The sequence below is a fragment of the Homo sapiens genome, chromosome 8 (assembly GCF_000001405.40).
Source record: "Homo sapiens chromosome 8, GRCh38.p14 Primary Assembly".
NCBI classification, from domain to species: domain Eukaryota; kingdom Metazoa; phylum Chordata; class Mammalia; order Primates; family Hominidae; genus Homo; species Homo sapiens.
The window spans coordinates 130,087,971-130,107,767 of record NC_000008.11 but is presented as its reverse complement, the minus strand read 5'-3'; the positions used below and the strand labels follow the sequence as shown (position 1 = coordinate 130,107,767).

Genomic DNA, 19,797 nt, shown 5'->3' with positions numbered 1-19,797 from the left:
AGACCAGCCTGGCCAATATGGTGAAACCCTATCTCTACTAAAAATACACAGAATTAACCAGGCTTGGTGGCCCGTGCCTGTAATCCCAGCTACTCAGGATTCTGAGGCAGGAGAATTGCTTGAACCCAGGAGGCAGAGGTTGCAGTGAGCCAAGATGGCACCACTGCACTTCAGCCCGGGCGACAGAATGAGACTCTATCTCAAAAATACATACATACATACATACATACATACATACATACATACATACATTTTTTAAAAAAAAAAAAAAAGAGAGACTATGGGCCGGGCATGGTGGCTCACACCTGTAATCCCAGCACTTTGGGAGGCTGAGGCGGGCGGATCACGAGGTCAGGAGATCGAGACCATCCTGGCTAACATGGTAAAACCCTGTCTCTACTAAAAATACAAACAAAAATTAGCCGGGTGTGGTGGAGGACGCCTGTAGTCCCAGCTACTTGGGAGGCTGAGGCAGGAGAATGGCGTGAACCCGGGAAGCGGAGCTTGCAGTGAGCCGAGATTGTGCCACTTCTCTCCAACCTGGGCCACAGGGTGAGACTCCGTCTCAAAAAAAAAAAAAAAAAGAAGAAGAAGAGAGAGACTATAGTTCTTCCTCATAAGGCCCAATCCTGCCCCATACTTGTCTCATCCTAACATTGAGCCAATCTTGCTGATTTTCAGAGTCTTCAACTGAAAAATAAGGATTAGGTGTCTACCTTGCTTAGAGAGCATGAAATAATGTCTATGAAATGACTGGCACGTAGTGAGCATTCAGTAAATACAAGTTTGTTCAATCCTCCTGCATGTTTTCAGTTTAACAAACATTCTGGGCACTGGAAATGTAAAGAAGAAGGAAGAAGTACCTCCCACTCTCAGGGCTCCAGGGAAAGAGGACACAGTATAATGTGCCCCTGGGGCCACTAGGGAGTATTCCTGGAGGAGCAGGAAAGAGAAGTGCTGTTCACAGCTTCAGAGAGAGGATTAGGGAAGTCTTCAATGCACTCTTCCAGTTAGGAGCAGAACTCCTCAAGGATAAGGGCTGTGAATGAGCTGCCTTTGCATCCCTGGCACAGAGAGTAGGATGCTCGTCAGTACTCGTCAGATGCATAAACAACAGCAGAAAGAATCAGTGAAAGCATGTCCCAGAAATAGGTGGCCAGGATAAGGAGGGGACATTTATAAAACTAAACCAGATGTCCACAGGTGTGATAGTTGACTTGCTGAAAATCTAATAAATGCAGCAGTTGTGCCCAGACACAGCTGTGTATGCATTTTAGACATTTCTCCAACTTTCCTTGGAGATCTGTGGCAGTAGATAGGAAGAAGAGTAGAAAGGGTGAAGACTTGCTCAGTATATGACAGCACCTGCCACCATGAAAGTACACTACTGCATGATTCAGACTCGCATGGGAAATATTTTCCTATCAGTGGTGTTATTCATATATTGATGACTTTACAGTTTCCTGCGGTTTTTTATCTCATGGGAAGACAGTCATTAGAGTAGCTTGATATTAAAGCTTCTCATAGGCTGTCACCCTTGATTCGTGTTTTGTTTTAGGGTGTTTTTTTCATTTGGGTTTGGTTTGCATTTGGGTTTTTGGCCTTTTTAAATCCTTTCCCCCTGTCCTTTGTAAGGCATTGCACGTGAATCACCTAGTGCTGGCCCAGAGTATCATCTGTGATTTTTGCCCTGAATAGTGACCTTGACTGAGGCTCTCTAGCTAAGTCACCTGACTGCCAGGGTGTGGAAAGGGAAGCAGAGGAAATCCTTGTTGTGCCTCTGGCATTCAGGGGTGGATGAGTTAATTGTTAAAGAATCAGCCCTAAGTCTCTTGAATCCTGGTACTTTCTTCTTAATTATCAGTGTCATAGAAGGAGGTGGAAGGACAGATGGATAGCTAATGCTGTTTCCTGTGTGGAAGTCAGTTGACAGAGCAATGTGGCACATATCATGCCCGGGCACCAGCCTGTCCTGTAATCCTGGCCAGCCCTGCTGACTTACACTAGTGTCCCAGCGCACTCTACTCCACCATGCCTGTTTCTCCATCTGAATGTGGAGATAACAGCTCCTCCGTTCTACACTGAGTCCTTCTTTGTATAATTATACGGTTAATTACTTTTTAAAGTAATTAACTTAAGCTTTCCACTCTTTTAAGCTTTATACTATGAAAACCATTAGATCAGTTAGGAGGAATAAGTTCAAGAGATCTGTTGTACAACCTGGTGCCTGTAGTTAATAACGTACTGTATTCTTGAAAATTGCTAAGAGAATAGATTTTAAATGTTCTCGCTACAAAGAAAAAGATGCATACGTGAAGTAATGCATCTGTTAATTAGCTCAATTTAGCAATTTCACAATGTACAGTTATCCCATGCCAAAACTCCAGGAATGCTCAAGTGCCTTATATAAAATGGTGCAGTATTTGCATATAACCTACACGCATTCTCCTGTGTACTTTAAATCACCTCTAGATTACTTGTTATACCTACTACAATGTAAATGCTATGTAAATGGTTGCTATACTATATTGTTTGTTTGTTGTTATTGTTGTTGGATTGTTATTTTTTATTGTGAGTTTCTTTTTTCTGAATATATTTAATCCAGGGTTGGTTGAACCTGCAGATGCAGAACTCCCAGATACAAAGGTCCAACTGTATACATATTTTAAAACAATATGTTATACATAATAAATATATATGTTATCAATTAAAAATAAATTGAAAAAAGAAAACTATTAGAAAGTGATAAAATCTTCATGTATATTGTCCCAAGTTGGATAGATATAACTTTTGTCATTACCCTTCCTATGTGGCAGCTTAGAATGTGTAAATTATGTTTCTACAGACAACTTTTTCAGAAACTGTCAAGATAATTTTTAAGCCATCTTCTAGGTCTTTTTTTTTCTTTGAAACTTCAGTTATACTTTTATTTGGTCTCCCAGTGTAAGAGACTTTTGGTTTTTCTGTGTGTAACTAAAAACCAGATATACAAGGATATTGAAAAAACATCCTCCTGACTTACATCATGAATTATCTTTATAGTCGTTGTTTGAAATGCTTGTTTCCCAGTGCCATAAAGAAATAGCACTTGAACATAAATTTAATTTTTTCAGCAAGGCCGTTTTTATACTTTCTGTAGAAAGGGTATACTTGCCAGCAGTTTTGCCACGAGAGTACACTGAACAAATGAGACAGGATCATTTATAACCTGACGTGTCCATCCTATTGCTGTGTCCAGTTTCCATTGGCTGTTTTGTATTTGTCCTGATTGGCTAGTAACTTAGAACTTTTTAAAAGAGTTGCAAAGGCAGAGAACAAAGGACGGAGGAAGTAACTTGTGGAATGCTGAGAAAGGTAAAAACACCTTCAAATAAGGAAGAGGAACAGGCCATGACCTAATGCTTGCTTGAACCAGTATAAGCATGCCAGGGCAAAGATTCAGGCTAAATTTTGGGAACTAAGAACATAAAGTACATTGATTTCTTTATTATGGCTAGCAGAGATTTAAAAATGTTAGCACAGGTCTTTGAATAAATTTTACTTCTAAGAGAAGTTACTATTTATTCCTAATTAGATGGGGAGGAAAGTCTTTGAAGAGGAACCTCTACTGTACTTTTTCAGTTGTGTACTGAGTACCCAGAGCATGCCGGGCCCTGGCAGGAGAGCTGTGGAGACAGTACAGATCATGCCCTATGGATGCACACAGTCTGGAAAGGAAGAGAAATTGTAGCTGTAATGTATGGTAGAGAATATCCATTAAGCCCTGGAAGCTCAGAGATAAGAGTGGGTATTCCAGGGAAGAGGGGATGGATTAGAGAAGGATTCTGGATGAAGTTACATTTGAACTGACCCTTAAAAAAATGAAGATGTAACCAAAACCTGTGGGATACAGTAAAAACAATACTAAAAAGGAAGTTCATAGCAATAAATGCCTACATAGAAAAAGAAAAACATCACTAGGTGCAGTGGCTTACGCCTGTAATCCCAGCACTTTGGGAGGCCGAGGCAGGTGGATCACCTGAGGGAGGTCAGGAATTCAAGACCCAAGACCAGCCTGGCCAACATGGTGAAACCCCATCTCTACTAAAAATACAAAAATTAGCTGGGCGTGGTGGCACACGCCTATAATCCCAGCTACTCGGGAGGCTGAGGCAGAAAATCACTTGAACCCGGGAGGCAGAGGTTGTAGTGAGCCGAGATCGCGTCACTGCACTCCAGCCTGGGTGACAAGAGCGAAACTCCATCTCAAAAAAAATAAAAAAATAAAAATGTCAAATAACCTAATGGTGCACCTCAAGGAACTAGAAAAGCAAGGACAAACCAAATCCAAAATTAGTAAAAGGAAAGAAAAAAGATCAGAGCAGAAATATATAAAGTTGCAACTGAAAAGACAATACAGAAAAGCAGCAAGTGTTGTGTTTTTTTGAAAAGATGAAAAAAATTGACAAGCCTTTAGCTAGACAAGAAAAGAAGGGAGAAGACCCAAATAAATAAGATTAGAAATGAAAAAGGAGGCTGATACCACAAAAATACAAAGGTCATTGTAGGAGACTATTATAAATAATGATAGGCCAGCAAATTAGGAAACCTAGAGGAAATGGACAAATTCCTGGAAACAACCACCAAGATTGAACCAAGAAGAAATAGAAAACCTGAGCAGATTAATAATAAGTAACAACATTGAATCAGTAATAAAAAGCCTCCCAACAAAGAAAACTCCAGGACCAGATGGCTTTATTACTTGAATTCTGCCAAATCTTTAAAAAACAGACAGCTAGGCTGGATGTGGTGGCTCGTGCCTGTAATCCCAATGCTTTGGGAGGCCAAGTCAGGAGGCTCACTTGAGGCCAGAAGTTTGAGACCAATCTGGGCAACATGGTGAGACCCTGTCTCTACAAAAAATATAAATAAAAAATTACTTGGGCACGGTGGTACCTACCTGTGGTGCTAACTATGTAGAAGGCTGAAGCAAGATGATCACTTGAGCCCAGGAGGTCAAAGCTGCAGTGAGTCAAGATCACACCACTGCACTCCAGCCTGGGTGACAGAGCAAGACCCTGTCTCAATCAATCAATCAAATAGTAAAGAAAAACTAGCACCAATTCTTAAACTGTTCCAAAAAAATTGAAGACAAAGGAATTTTTCCTAACTCTTCCAATGAGGCCAGCATTGCCCTAATACCAAAACCAGACAAGGACACAACAAAAAAAGAAAACTACCAGCCAATATTCTTGTGGAACGTAGATGCAAAAAATCCTAACCAAATACTAACAAACTGAATCCAACAACACATCAAAAGATAATAAACCATGATGAAGTGTGATTTATCGCAGGGATGCAAGGATGTTTCAACATACGCTAATCAATAAATGAGACACACCACATCAACAGAATGAAGGACAAAAGCCATATGATGACCTAAATGGATGCAGAAAAAGCATTTGATAAAATTCAACATCCATTCATAATAAAAACCTTCAATAAATTAGGTATAGAAGGAACATATCTCAAAATAATAAAGGCCGTATGTGACAAACTCACATCTAAATCATCCTGAATGGGGGAAAGCTGAAAGCTTTTTCTCTAAGAACTGGAAGAAGACAAGGATGCCTGCTTTGACCACTCCTGCTCAGATAGTGCTGGAAGTAGTCCTAGCCAGAGCAGTCAGGCAAGAGAATGCAATAAAGGGCATCCAAACTGGAAAAGAGGAAGTTAAATTGTTCCTCTTTTCAGATGACATGATCTTCTATATAGAAAAACCTAAAGACGTCACCAAAAAACACATTTAGAACTGATGAATAAATTCATTAAAGTGACAGGATACAAAATCAACATACAAAAATCAGTAGTGTTTCTATACACCAGTAACAAACTAGCTTTAAAAAATCAAGAAAAAGCCGGGTGTGATGCTTCATGCCTGTAATCCCAGCACTTTAGGAGGATGAGGTGGGTGCATTGCTTGAGCTTAGGAGTTTTGAGACCAGCCTGGGCAACATGGTGAAACCCTATCTCTGCAAAAAAAAAAAAAAAAAAAATTAACCAGGTGTGGTAGCACATGCCTGTAGTCCCCAGCTAGTAGGGAGGCTGAGGTGAAAAGATCGCTTGAGCATAGGAGGCTGCAGTGAGCTGTGATTACGCTACTGCACTCCAGCCTGGGTGACAGAGAAAGACCCTGTCTCAGAAAAAAAAAGAAAAATTGAGAAAGCAATCCCTTTTACGATAGCTACCCCCCAAAAAACTAAAAAACCCAGGAATAAATCTAACCAAGGAGGTGAAAGAGCTCTGCAATGAAAACTTATAAAACAGTGATAAAAGAAATTGAAGGGGACAATTAAAAATGGAAAGACATCACATGCTCATGATTGGAAGAATTAATGCAGTTAAAATGATCATACTACCAAGAGCAATCTACAGATTCGATGCAATCTCTTTCAAAATACTAATGACATTCCTCATAGAAACAGAAAAAAGCAATCCTAAAATTCATATGGAAACACAAAAGACTTCAAATAGCCAAAGTAATACTAAGCCAAAAGAAAAAAGCTGGAGTCATTACACTACTTGACTTCAAAATATACTACAAAGCTATAGTAACCAGAACAGCTTTGTATTGGTGTAAAAACAAATGCATAGACCAGTGGAACAGAACATAGAACCCAGAAATAAATCCACATATTTATAGCCAACTGATTTTTGATAAGGGTGCAAAGAACATACATTGGGGAAAGGATCCTTCTTTAATTTGCTGAGAAAGCTGGGTATCTCTCAACTCAAGATGAATTAAAGACTTAAACATAATACCCGAAACTATAAAACTACTAGAAGAGAGCATAAGGGAAACACTTCAGGACATTAGTCTGGGCAAAAATTGTATGTGTAGCACATCAAAAGCACAGGCAACAAAAAAATAGACAAAGCAGACGATATCAAACTAAAAAGCTTCTGCACAGCAAAAGAAACAATCAGAGCAAAGAGACAACCTGTTGAATGCAGAAACTATCTGCAAACTATTCATCTTACAAGGGACTTGTATATCCGGAATATACAAGGAACTCAATTCAGCAGCAAAATAATAATGATAATGTGATTTTAAAATGGGCAAAGGATCTGAACAGACATTTCTCAAAAGAAGAAGTAGAGGCCGGGTGTGGTGGTTCATGCCTGTAATCCCAGCACGTTGGGAGGCCGAGGTGGGTAGATTGCCTGAGGTCAGGGCTTCGAGACCAGCCTGGCCAACATGGTGAAACCCCATCTCTACTAAAAATACAAAATTAGCTGGGTGTGGTAGCATACACCTGTAATCCCAGCTACTCGGGAGGCTGAGGCAGGAGAATCACCCGAACCTGGGAGGCGGAGGTTGCAGTGAGCCGAGAACACACCATTGCACTCCAGCCTGGGCAACAAGAGTGAAACTCCGTCTCAAAAAAAAGAAAGAAAGAAAGAAAGAAAGAAAACACGACATATAAATGGCTAATAAGTATATGAAAAAATGCTCAACATCACTAATCATGAGAGAAATGTAAATCAAAACCACAATGAGATATTATCTATTTCCAGTTAAAATGGCTATCATCAAAAAGACAAGAAATAACAAATCCTGATGAGGATGCAGAGAAAGGGGAACTCTTATATAATGTTGGTTGGAATGTAAATTAGTACAGGTACTAATGAAAAACAGTATGGAGGTTTCTCACAAAACTGAAAATAGCACTGTCATACCACTGAGCAATTCTACTACTGGGTATTTATCCAGTGCAAAGGAAATCAGTATATTAAAGGGATACCTGCACCCCATGTTTACTGCAGTGCTATTTACAGTAGCCAAGATATGGAATCAGTCTAAATGTCCATCAGCAGGTGAATGGATGAAGAAAATGTGTATATATACATATGGAATATTATTCCCATAAAAATGAATGAAATCCTATAGGCTGGGCACAATGACTCACATCTGTAATCCCAGCACTTTGGGAGGCCGAGGCGGGTGGATCACCTGAGGTCAGGTTGCAGTGAGCTGAGATCATGCCACTGCACTCCAGCCTGGACGACACAGCAAGACTCTGTCTCAAAAAAAAAAAAAAAAAAAAGAATGAAATCCTTTCATGTGCTACAACATGTATGACCCTGAAGGACATTATTTTAAGTGAAATAAGCCAGGCACAGAAAGATAAATACTGCATGTTCTCACTCATGTGGGAGCTAAAACAAAACAAGAAAAGCTCAAGCCTGGACAACATAGCAAAACCCCATCTCCACAAAAAGTTTTTCTTAAAAAATTAGCTGGGCCTGGCCGGGCGCAGTGGCTCATGCCTGTAATCCCAGCACTTTTGGAGGCCACGATGGGCGGATCACGAGGTCAGGAGATCGAGACCATCCTGGCTAACATGGTGAAACCCCGTCTCTACTAAAAATACAAAAAAAATTAGCCAGGCGTGGTGGCAGGCACCTGTAGTCCCAGCTACTCGGGAGGCTGAGGCAGGAGAATGGCGTGAACCTGGGAGGTGGAGCTTGCAGTGAGCCGAGATCTCGCCACTGCACTCCAGCCTGGGCAACAGAGCGAGACTCAGTCCACCAAAAAAAAAAAAAATTAGCTAGGCCTGGTGGCGTACACGTATAGTCCCAGCTACTGGGCAGACTGAGGTAGGAGGATCACTTCCAGAGCCCCGGAAGTTGAGGCTGCAGTGAACTGTGATCATACTGCAGCATTCCAGCCTGGGCAACAGAGTGAGACTGTCTCAAAAAAAAAAAAAAAAAAGCTTATATTAGTAGAGAGTATTGAGCTTATATTAGTAGAGAGTATAAGAGAGGTTATTAGAGTTCTGGGAAGGGGTTGAGCGGAGGATGAGGCTGATTAATGGATACAAAATAACAGCTAGATGGGAAGGATAAGTTCCTGTGTTCTGTAACACTGTAGAGTGACTGTGGTTAACAGTAATTTGGTGTATATTTTCAAAATCTACAAGCAAGGATTTTGAATGTTCACAACACAAAGAAATGATAAATCTTTGAGATGATGGATATTAGCTACCCTGATTTGATCATTACACATTATACACATGTATTGAAATATCACTATGTATCCTATAAATATGTACAATTGTGTCAACTAAAAAGTTTTTAGGCCTGGCACCGTGGCTCACACCTGTAATCTCGGCACTTTGGGAGGCCGAGGCGGGCGGATCATGAGATCAGGGGTTTGAGCCCAGCCTAGGTGGCCAACATGGTGAAACCTTGTCTCTACTAAAAAAATACAAAAATTAGCCGGGCGTGGTGGCAGGCACCTGTAATCCCAGCTACTTCGGAGGCTGAGACAGGAGAATCGCTTGAACCCGGGAGGTGGACATTGCAGTGAGCTAAGATCATGCCACTGCACTCCAGCCTGGGCAACAAAGAGCAAAACTTCATCTCAAAAAAGTGTTTAAAGATGAGAATGTGGAAGTGAAGTGATAACTCAGTTATGTCCCTGAAAGTTCTAGCCGGAAAGGATGTGATGCCATTTAGAGGAAGGGAAGCAAGCTGTTGTCAAGGCTGAGAGTCTGGCCTTGAGTCAGACAGAATGGGGTTCTGCCTGGACGTAGCTGCTCATTTGCTGTGACTTGCCAAGTTCCTAAACCCTCTGAGCCTTGGGTCTTTTTATCCTTCAAATGGATAATGTGACAATAATGATAATATTTTACAAGATAAATTTTAAATACTGTGTTTTAGCTCAAGCACATAATACTCAGTAAATGGTAGCTCCAGAAAATGCAAGAAGAGGAGGAAGAGATTTGAAAAGCATGCTGATTATGATTTTAGGAATTAATTTTCATTTTTTAAGGTATATTTATATCTATTTAGGTATAAGTGAATGAATTTCCAGGACATTTTTTCTGGGCTAAGTGGAGAGATTGCCTTGCTGAGTACTGTTGGGGGAGATATTCTCAAACCACCTTCATAGTTTAAGAATATATCGATTTCCCATAAGGGAGCTTCAGTGAGAAGAGAATGTCAGTTCCTGGGAGAGAGTCTCAGGAGATCGCTGCCACTTTTTGAGAGACTAAATTGTTGGGCCCAGGAATGTGGGACAAGAGCTTTGGCCTGAAAACTGCCCGTGGGCCTGCCAGGGTGAGCATAGTCACTTCTGCAATACACTGCCTGGGTGCACTTCCTGAGCCCTGGCTGTATGCCGGGCACACTTCTGACATAGACCTCAGACAGAGGCATCCCCGAGGCTAAGGACGTTGAGGTGCTCTGGCAGCACATCAGGTAGGTTCAGCGGCAACCACTTGAGTTGAAGGCACAGCAGAATGTCCAAATGGAGTGACCAAGAGGCTGTTGGAGATGTGGGAAGGGACCCAGGCATAGCCAGGGTCAGGGATGGGGATGCTGTCTGTGCAGGGAGGGCCGTTAACAAGGGAGGACGGTGAAGAACAGATCAGAAGACACATTTAGAACCCCTGGAGAACAGGGCAGGTGAGGAGAGAAGCCACAGAGCAGAGTGCCTTGAGGACAGGCCTGTGTCCAGAGCACAGCACCTGATACCCAAAAGAGGACCCAGAAGTGCCTCCAGAATGAAGGGTGGTGAGAACAGGCACCAGTGGGTGTCCACAATACAGTTTTCAAGGACTTTTTTTTTTTTTTTTTTTTTTTTTTTTTTTTTTTGGAGACTAACTGTCACTCTGTCTCCTAGGCTGGAGTGCAGTGGCATGATCTCGGCTCACTGCAACCTCCATCTCCCGGGTTCAAGCGATTCTCCTGCCTCAGCCTCCCAAGTAGCTGGGATTACAGGTGCATGCCACCATGCCCAGCTAATTTTGTATTTTTTAGTGGAGACAGGGTTTCATTATGTTGGCCAGGCTGGTCTCAAGCTCCTGGCCTCAAGTGACCCTCACGCCTCGGCCTCCCAAAGTGCTGGGATTACAGATGTGAGCCACCATGCCCGGCCTCAAGGACTTTTTCTGATCATGGATTATTTAAAAATAAATATGTGGCTTGCCTTCTCACCCTGCAGAACACTAGTCCTGTCATCCATCTCTGTTTAAGGGCAGGGAATGCTTTCTCGTGGAAAACACATGCTCCTAGATGATTCAGCTTCTTTGAATGTGACAGCTGATGCTAAACTAACATGTAAACCCTCAGGAAGAATGAGGTGTACTCTACTTCCTCTTAGAAGATCTTCTAATTATTTAACCTCAGATTTATTCATAGAAGCTTTGGAAGGCTAGACCCATGTTTTTAAGAAGATATAGACATTATTTCACATGGTAGCCAATATTAGTGGCAAGTGAGGTTTGGGGCACTTTCTTGTTACTTCCACAGGCCTCTGGCAGAGTTCAGGAGAGAAAATTGCCTCTTAGTCACCTCTGCATCTCTGTCACCACTCACTAATCTTGCCTCCCCACCCTTTTTTGTGTTGCGTTTGATGCTGTGTTCCATTTTATTTTGTTTCAGCTTTCTTTATCTTACCAGAATTGCTTTTTTCCTGACTGAACCAGTACTCAGATTTATTTTGCATAAAAGATCCCTTTTAATGCTGTGGGACTGGTTACTAATTTTGGAAGTCTTCTGAGCTCTTTAAATCTTCAAACATTTTTTTAAGTCTGCATTTCTGGGGTCTTATATATAGTATTTTTCAACCTTATTTTACCTCATGTCTTCCCAGCCAAGATTTTGTAGCATCTTCCTTTCTGTAGCTTCTACTACAAGACAATAGATAGGTCTGTCTGTGTGTTTGTTTTCCAAGTGTAAGATTATAAACTTGAATATCCCTTTTCACACTTAACACTGTTCCCTCCTGCTAATTCTCCCCACTTGTTTCTGATCAGTCAACCTAAGTGAAACATATTGGCCTCCTTAAGAATTACTGGCCTGGCCGGGCACTGTGACTCACGCCTGTAATCCCAGTACTTTGGGAGTCTGAGGTGGGTGGATCACCTGAGGTCAGGAGTTCAAGACCAGCCTGGCCAACATGGTGAAACCCCATCTCTACTAAAAATACAAAACTTAGCCGGGTGTGGCGGCGTGCACCTGTAGTCCCAGCTACTCAGGAGGCTGAGACAGGAGAATCCCTTGAATCTGGGAGGCAGAAGTTGCAGTGAGCCGAGATTACACCACTGCACTCCAACCTGGGTGACAGAGTAAAGCTCTGCCTCAAAAAAAAAAAAAAGACAAAAGAATCACTGGCCTTAGGCCAGGCATGGTGGCTCACGCCTGTAATCCAAGCACTTTGAAAGACTGAAGCAGGTGAATCACTTGAGGTTGGGAGTTCAAGACCTGCCTGGCCAACATGGCAAAACCCCATCTCTACTAAAAATACAAAAATTAGCCAGACGTGGTGGCACACATCTGTAGTCCCAGCTACTTGGGAGGCTGAGGCAGGAGAATCACTTGAACCCAGGAGGGGGAGGTCACGGTGAGCCAAGATCACGCCACTGCACTCCAGCCTGGGCGACAGAGTGAAACTGCGTCTCAAAAAAAAAAAAAAAAAAAAAAAATCACTGGCCTAAAAAGATAGAAGTAGTGGTTGAGTCTTCTATTTATTCAGTAAATATTTACTCTACACGAAACCAGAGAAAAGCCTGGCCCTAATACAACTCTCCCAGTCTTATGGGAGAGTCAGGTAACAAGTAAGTAAACAAAGACTTAATTAGAGATTATACTCAGCAATATGAAGGAAGTCAGAAGTATATAAGGGCATGGGACGCACAATTACTTAATTTTTGAAATGATTCAGGAGGTTGGATTTTACATGGTTTATGGTTACAGGATGCCTCTTTGGTGTAATCTCTCCTACAGTCTCATACATATATAATGCAGCGTTGCTCAGAGACATGGCTCCATTAGCATTTTGTCTTTGACAATTTTTGTTTCCTAGCAGGGAACTGCATCTGCATCAGAAAGTCCCTAGATGGCGATAAAGATGAAATTGCTAGAGAACCTCACCATTGTCTATTATCTATTATCCATTTATTTCCAAAAGGAAAGTTACACTTCCTGATACTGAGCATTTGTTGTTGTTTTCCTCATATGCCAAGCACAGGAAATGCTGCTCTGGCTTTCAGGAACCAGCAGCATCATTTGATGGGGTGAGTGCCTCGCCAGTCCTGGACACCTGCCTTATCCCAGCTCTGCCCCTCATGGCTTGTGACTTTAATCATGCCTCTGAGTTCTCGGCTGCAAAATGGGGACAATACTACCTGACCCACATACTTCACAGAGTTAGTATGAAAATGAAGAGGTACAACTATTCGTATCCATAAACATTTTTTTTTTTTAAATTTAGACTAGGCGTGGTGACTCACGCCTATAATTCTAGCACTTTGGGAGGGTCGCTTCAGCTCAGGAGTTCAAGGCCAGCCTGGACAACAGAGTGAGACTCTGTCTCTACTAAAAATTTAAAAATTTTTAAAAATTAGCTGGATGTTATGATACATGCCTGTAGTCCCAGCTACTCAGGAGGCTGAGGAGGGAAGATTGCTTGAGCCCAGGAGATCAGGGCTGCAGTGAGCTGTGATCTTGCCACTGCACTCCAAGCAGGATGACAAAGCAAGACCTTGTCTCAAAAAAAATTTTTTTTAACGATAAACCTAGGGAAGAAGCTGAGGAATAGCATATATAAACACATTTTGAAAACTACAAAGCATTATACAGATGCAAGGCCATAATAACAATCTCTGTATTGTTACAAAAATAAAATAGTTTCTGAAAACTGCTGTGACTGACACCCTAATTAAGTGTTGATTTGGGGTAAGCATCAGGCTTCCATTGTGTAATAGAATTACGCAATGGGACAAAGATGTAAATTATATAGCCTGGCAATTTAAACCTAAAGCAGATGATAATTTTACTGAGATTAACAGTATTTACTTTCAGAACTAGCCTATCTTATAGAAATAATGGTTTAAGTCAATATTGGTAGGGACTAGTAATTGACAATGGGAAATAGGAAAGCTTACTTTGTACCAAGGAAAGAGGCCAGCAGTAATTAGACTTTTTTTTTTAATATGAAGAGTGTATAAAGCTCTTTTGGAGCCCTTCTGGATTACTAGGTATCTACTAATCTGTGTTAAACATTCAGTGTGGCAGTGTTCTTAGCTTTCTTTTTTTTTTTTTTTTTTTTTTTGAGACGGAGTCTCGCTGTGACAGCCAGGCAGGAATGCAGTGGCATGATCTCAGCTCATTGCAACCGCCACTTCCTGGGTTCAAGCGATTCTCCAGCCTCAGCCTCCCGAGCAGCTGGGACTACAGGCGTGCACCGCCACACCTGGCTAATTTTTGTATTTTTAGTAGAGACAGAGTTTCACCATGTTGGCCAGGCTGGTCTTGAACTCCTGACCTCAAGTGATCTGCCCACCTCGGCCTCTCAAAGTGCTGGAGTTACAGGCGAGAGCCACCGTGCCTGGTCCTAGCTTTTTTTTCTTAACGTTTACAGAAGCAGTTTGCCATGAACACAGTTAAACCATATACCTTAAATAAAGCAATAGTAGTGAAAGTGCCCAGCATGGAATACCTGGCACACACCAGCCACTTCAATGTCACTTTGAATAAACAAAACTAAGATCAAATACACTACTCCCTTAACAGCTTTTAAAAACGAACCCCATTTTTGTGTGTATGTGGAATATTACTATCATTCCTGCTGTCTTGTCTTTAGCTCTGGAGAAAGTTGAGTCTTTTTTTTAGTCTATAAAAATCAGTGTCTATATAAATGTTGTTCAGGCTTCCAATATAACAGATGGTTTGGTTTCTAGAGCAAAGGGTTTTTGGATTTCTCTTTTTTCTAGGTAATGCTTTACGTCCAGTTCTTTCTTCATTATTTAGAAAAGCCTTAATTTTTTTTTTTTTTTTTTTAAGAAAAGCGTCAGGCAGTTTGCTGACTAGAAGAAAAAGTTGTAGAAAGAAAAATTCTATTATATGAATCATTTCATGTTTCAGCTTGTGGCCCAGTGAAGGCTTAGCCTGTACTCTGTTCTTTCTCTGTTGATTTTGCTGGTAGTGGTGTGTGATTTCTCCTTCAGTAGGTTCTGTGATGGTTATAAGGAGTTATTGTTTTAAGATGTGTGTGTGTGTTTGTTTTTCCCATTGTACCTAAATGATCTAAACTCAGTAGCATTCTGTGTTGACTGGCATTTTGTTCCTAAAAGCACACACTCTTCTTACCTTTGTTGTAAATTTTTCTCTGTTGCCTAGGCTGGAGCGCAGTGGCATAATCATAGCTCAGTGTATCCTCGAACTCCTGACTTCAAGTGATCCTCCTACCTCAGTCTTCCAAGTAGCTGAGACTACAAGCACACACCACCACACCTGGCTAATTTTTTAAATTTTTATAGAGATGGCGTCTTGCTGTGTTACCCAGGCTGGTCTCAAACTCTTGGCCTCAAGCAATCCTCCCACCTCAGCTTTCTACAGTGCAGGGGATTACAGGCATGAGCCACTGCACCTGGCCAATTTTATTTTTTTTTTAACCAAATTTTTGAAACCCTACTTGTGAGTTATTAGGTTGATGGAGTTAGCCATATCCAGCCTTTTGCTTTTGTCTCTGTGTGTCATACCACATTCTGATGTGTGGAAGTGATTTCATACTGGCTGTTTTGTATCTGTGAGACTGGGATTAATCTTCCTGCCCCCATTCAATTTCCTTTCTAGGTCCAACTGGCCCACCTTCAACACTCCCTCTAAGCACCCAGACCTCTAGTGGCAGCTCCACCCTATCCAAGAAGAGGCCTCCTCCCCCACCACCCGGACACAAGAGAACCCTATCCGACCCTCCCAGCCCACTACCTCATGGGCCCCCAAACAAAGGCGCAGTTCCTTGGGGTAAGTTATCCTAAAGTCAGGGCCAAAGCTGCTGGGGCCAGGCAGCGTGTGGGGCTCCACTGGGCAGTGGCCTGTTAGCACATTCAGAAAGTGTGCCAAAATGCACACACATGCTGGGTGCTGACTCGGGTATATATGACATGATTCTACCTGTCTCTTAAGGGAAAGGAACATTTTGAAAAATATTTAGGCCATTAAAAACTAAAAGGTGCTGAGCACTTCCTAAATCTTACTCAATTATAATAGCAACTCTGTGAGGTAGGTATTATTAGTCTCGTTTATATATAAGGAAACAGAGGCTCAGAAAAGCAAAGTAATCCATTTTCCTCACAACAGCCAGAATGGTTTTCTTATAAAGTGTAAATCAGCTCATGGTCACTTTTCTCCTTAACACCCTTTTGAGATTTCCTTTTGAGCTTCAGATAAATGCAAGCTCCCTATATCAAGGCCCACAGGGCCCTGCATGATCGGGCTCTTATCTCCTAGACCCTCTCCTGCCACTCTATCTTCAGGGCTGGCCTTCTTTCACTTCTTGGATACACCATCCTCTGCCTCCTGAGGGCCCTCCCACTCCCTGGAACTCTGTCATGCTTTTTGAACAGCTGCTTCCCTTTCATCCTTGAGTTCTCAGCCAGCATGTCTATCTCCCCCGCCCTCCAACGCAGCTTCCTCCCTACCTGTTTTCCCCCAAACACCTTATCACAGAATGTAAGCCGCCCCACTAAAATGTAAGCTCCATGAGAGCCAGAACCTTGTCTTGGTCTTGTTCTCACCAGTGTTTACTGGAACCACGCCTGGCATACAGTGAATATTCAGGAATCACTTGAGAATGAATAAATTTGCCCAGAGTCAGCTTGTTAATCATTTCAGTGACATTGACTGCACATGACAAATTCCCATCTACAAGGGACATAATTCCCATCTTTACTACTAGCCTGCTAGCGACTTAGGGGTCACCCCATCACGAAACAGGGTCTTGGCCCGTGACAGACACTCACAGAAGCTTTGCTGAATAAATTTGTTAGTTTGTGTGTCTCACCTCTTCCTGCTGTGGAGTTTCATTGTGGCTTTCTTCATATTTTTTGTGTTTTGAGTTTTGGGGGAAAGTTATATTGTCCCGTTGCTGATTGTCACCTGTTCACCATCTGGCCCAGACACCCCGGGTTATGTGTGTGCAAGCATGTGTGTGCATTTAGCCGTTCATTCTCTGACTCTGTTTGCTTACTTGAGGCACTTACTATGCCCCTTGCTTGGGCCTTCTCAGTCCATATGCTCGTGGAGTTCATGGTCTAATGCAGGACACACGTGGGTAAGTCATTAGAGCACATGTTCTTTACTATCAGGATAGACATGTTGTCTAAACACTAGAAATGCCAGAAAACTGAATGTCAGACTTTAGAGGAAAGCCAGGGAAGGTTTAGAGAAGAGGAGACATTGGAGTTTGGTGTTAATGAATTAGTTCCCACAAGCCAGGCAAGAACAATTGAGGTGTGCTAGCACATATGTACATAAAGACTAAGGATGTCCGTGACATTTTCAGAGGCTGCTGTGTAAGGCCTTCGGGATCCCCAGATTTCATCAAAAAGGCCTTTCCCCCAAATAACATTCCATGAAAGTCACAAGTTTCACATCAGCGTTTCATATCACAAATTAACCTCCTTTCCAAATTTCTCTTAAGTTTTAATCCTCTTGTTTAAGTGGCTTTATTTCTTAAGGTTTGAAGTGCCTTTATTCACATTGTATAGACTCGAACATTCCTCAAATAAATTTACCAAATTTCTGCTTTCTGGCTTGAAAATCATCACTTTTTTAGATTTTCACATCACTCAAGAGCAAGACTAGCAGCTGGCCGTTTTTCCCCCCATTGTTGATGGGTCAGGGAGCATTTTTTATTAAACAAAATTTACTTTAAAAGAGTGCCTGACAGTGAGCTGGGAGCCTTATAACCTTTTCCAGATGAGGACGCTGTTCTGTCTGTCAGTTTCTCACCAGCTAAGAGCCTCTCACCTACAACCAGCCTTGAAGGACAAAAATCATCATCTGTCCTCGGCCACAGTGACAGTTCGCCACATGGCATGGACTTTTGATTGTTGAAATCAAAATTTTAAATTTAAAAAACAATTTAAATTTTTTTTTAAATTTTGATTTTAGAAAGCATATGTTGGTGTACATGCATGTATGTGAGATATACTGTCTACAGACACAGGTCAGTAATGGGCATGTATGTGTGGGTGCATTCATACACGGCTGGACTTCTCCTTAGAAAGGTTATAGTTGCTCTGCTCCTAGTGCTTGAGGTCTGTGTTGTATTATTACTGCTTGGTTTTATCCCTTCCCCGCCTCCTGCTGACATTGTATTGTAGAAGCCAAAGGCAGGGCCCAGACAGGTCATCAGCAAGGCACTTAGGGGATCAACCTTCTAGGCAACCTTCCTCTCTGATGCCTGCAGCTTTCGTCTGTGGACGCACCTTTCCAACGCTCTTATGTTCCCCTAAACCTCTCATCTCTCCTCAGCCCATGAGGATCAGGGCCTTTGAACTGTGAGAGATCAGGACTGGGAGGTAGACACCAGGCACGAGCAGGTAGTAAAAGAACAGCCCCTTAGCTCTCACCAGGCCTTACCTCTCCACCCCCAAAGCTGAACATGTCTGCCATCTTGAGGTACACCACATTCCCCAAAGTTCTATTTTTTTCTCTCAGATCTGAGCCTTTGCTTACAGTATGCCCTCAACCTAGAATCTTCTTCCCTCTACTTCTTTATGTTAATGTTTAGTCATCTTTCAAGATCTGCTGTCCTGGGATCTACTTAAAAGGCCTTTTGCAGTCCAGTAAAACTCCCCACTCCCCACCCTTTTGTCCCCACTGGTGTAGTGGGTATCACAGTGGCTGTTTCCTTGCCTGTCTTTCCTAGTACATGAACTCCTTCTGAGGGCATGTGCTGCTTCTCTCAGCAGAGCAAAGTGCTCTAAGGTGAACTCAAGTGTCATACTGTCTGGATTCTCATTCCATCTCTACTACTCAATAGCCTTGTGATTTTCAGCAAGTATCTTTGAAATGTTCAGTGCCAAAGCTTCTCCAACTATAATATGGGGCTAGTAATAGTGTCTGTATTGCATATGGAGTTATGAAGATTAAATGAGAAGAACACATAAAAAGCAACCAAAACCATAGGCAGCACCCAATAAATGATAGCTACTGTTACCATTATTCTCAGCCTAGCATTTTGCTGGATAGCTAGAGATGGGAGAAACCTGCATTCGTTTCCTGAGGCTCCTGTAACGCATACCGCAAACTGGATGTTGTAAAATGACAAATTTATTCTTTCAGTATTAGAAGCTAGAGGTCCAAAATCCAGCAGGGTTTTGCTCCCTCCAGAGGCCCTGTGGGAAGAATCTGTTTCTTGCCTCTCTCAGCTTCTGGTGACTCCAGGTGATCCGTGGAGTGGTGCAGCCTCTGCCTTCATGGTCATCTCCCCACTGCCGCCGCCTCTCTGTGTTCTCAGAACTGCCTTTGCCTCTCTCTCATAAGTGTACGTGTGATTGTATATAGGACCCACATGAATTTTCTGTGATAATCTTGTCTCGGGAGGCCAAGGCGGGCGGATCACTTGAGGTCTGGAGTTCAAGACCAGTCTGACTAACATGGAGAAACCCCATCTCTACTAAAAATACAAAATTAGCTGGGCATGGTGGCGCATGCCTGTAATCCCAGCTACTCGGGAGGCTAAGACAGGAGAATCGCTTGAATTCGGGAGGCGGAGGTTGTGGTGAGCCGAGATTGCACCATTGCACCCCAGCCTGTGCAACAAGAGCGAAACTCCTTCTCAAAAAAAATAATCTCCTTGTCTCAAGATCCTTAACTTAATTATATTTACAAAGACCCTTTTTCCTAGTCAGGTCACATTTACAAATTCCAGGGATCAGGACTCGATAACTTTGGGTGGCCATTATTCAGCCTACCACAGCTTGTCCTCTGACCCCCAAAGAGTCACATCCAACCCAC

At 42.3% G+C, this 19,797-nt stretch overlaps 1 protein-coding gene across 23 annotated transcripts in view, besides 1 other annotated feature; it reads left to right on the top strand.

Moving 5' to 3' along the window:
- Window positions 1–19,797, top strand: part of ASAP1 (ArfGAP with SH3 domain, ankyrin repeat and PH domain 1) — a 391,571-nt gene that overhangs the window by 335,907 nt on the left and 35,867 nt on the right. For 16 of the 23 annotated variants that reach the window (XM_047421806.1, XM_017013468.2, NM_018482.4 and 13 more), the window contains one exon: window positions 15,625–15,795. The exons of the other annotated variants lie outside the window; for them this stretch is intronic. In XM_047421806.1, coding sequence (XP_047277762.1) covers window positions 15,625–15,795 — 171 coding nt within the window. The remainder of the gene's footprint in view (window positions 1–15,624; window positions 15,796–19,797) is intronic. 23 annotated transcript variants of the gene reach the window in all.
- Window positions 9,494–9,651: a silencer, noted in NCBI's record as "fragment chr8:131110363-131110520 (GRCh37/hg19 assembly coordinates)". NCBI's record gives its function as "represses an EF-1alpha promoter that drives an FKBP-Casp9 reporter gene in an ReSE screen in phorbol 12-myristate 13-acetate-treated (for megakaryocytic differentiation) K562 erythroleukemia cells {active_cell/tissue: K562(+PMA)}" and the evidence as "EXISTENCE:reporter gene assay evidence [ECO:0000049][PMID:32094911]".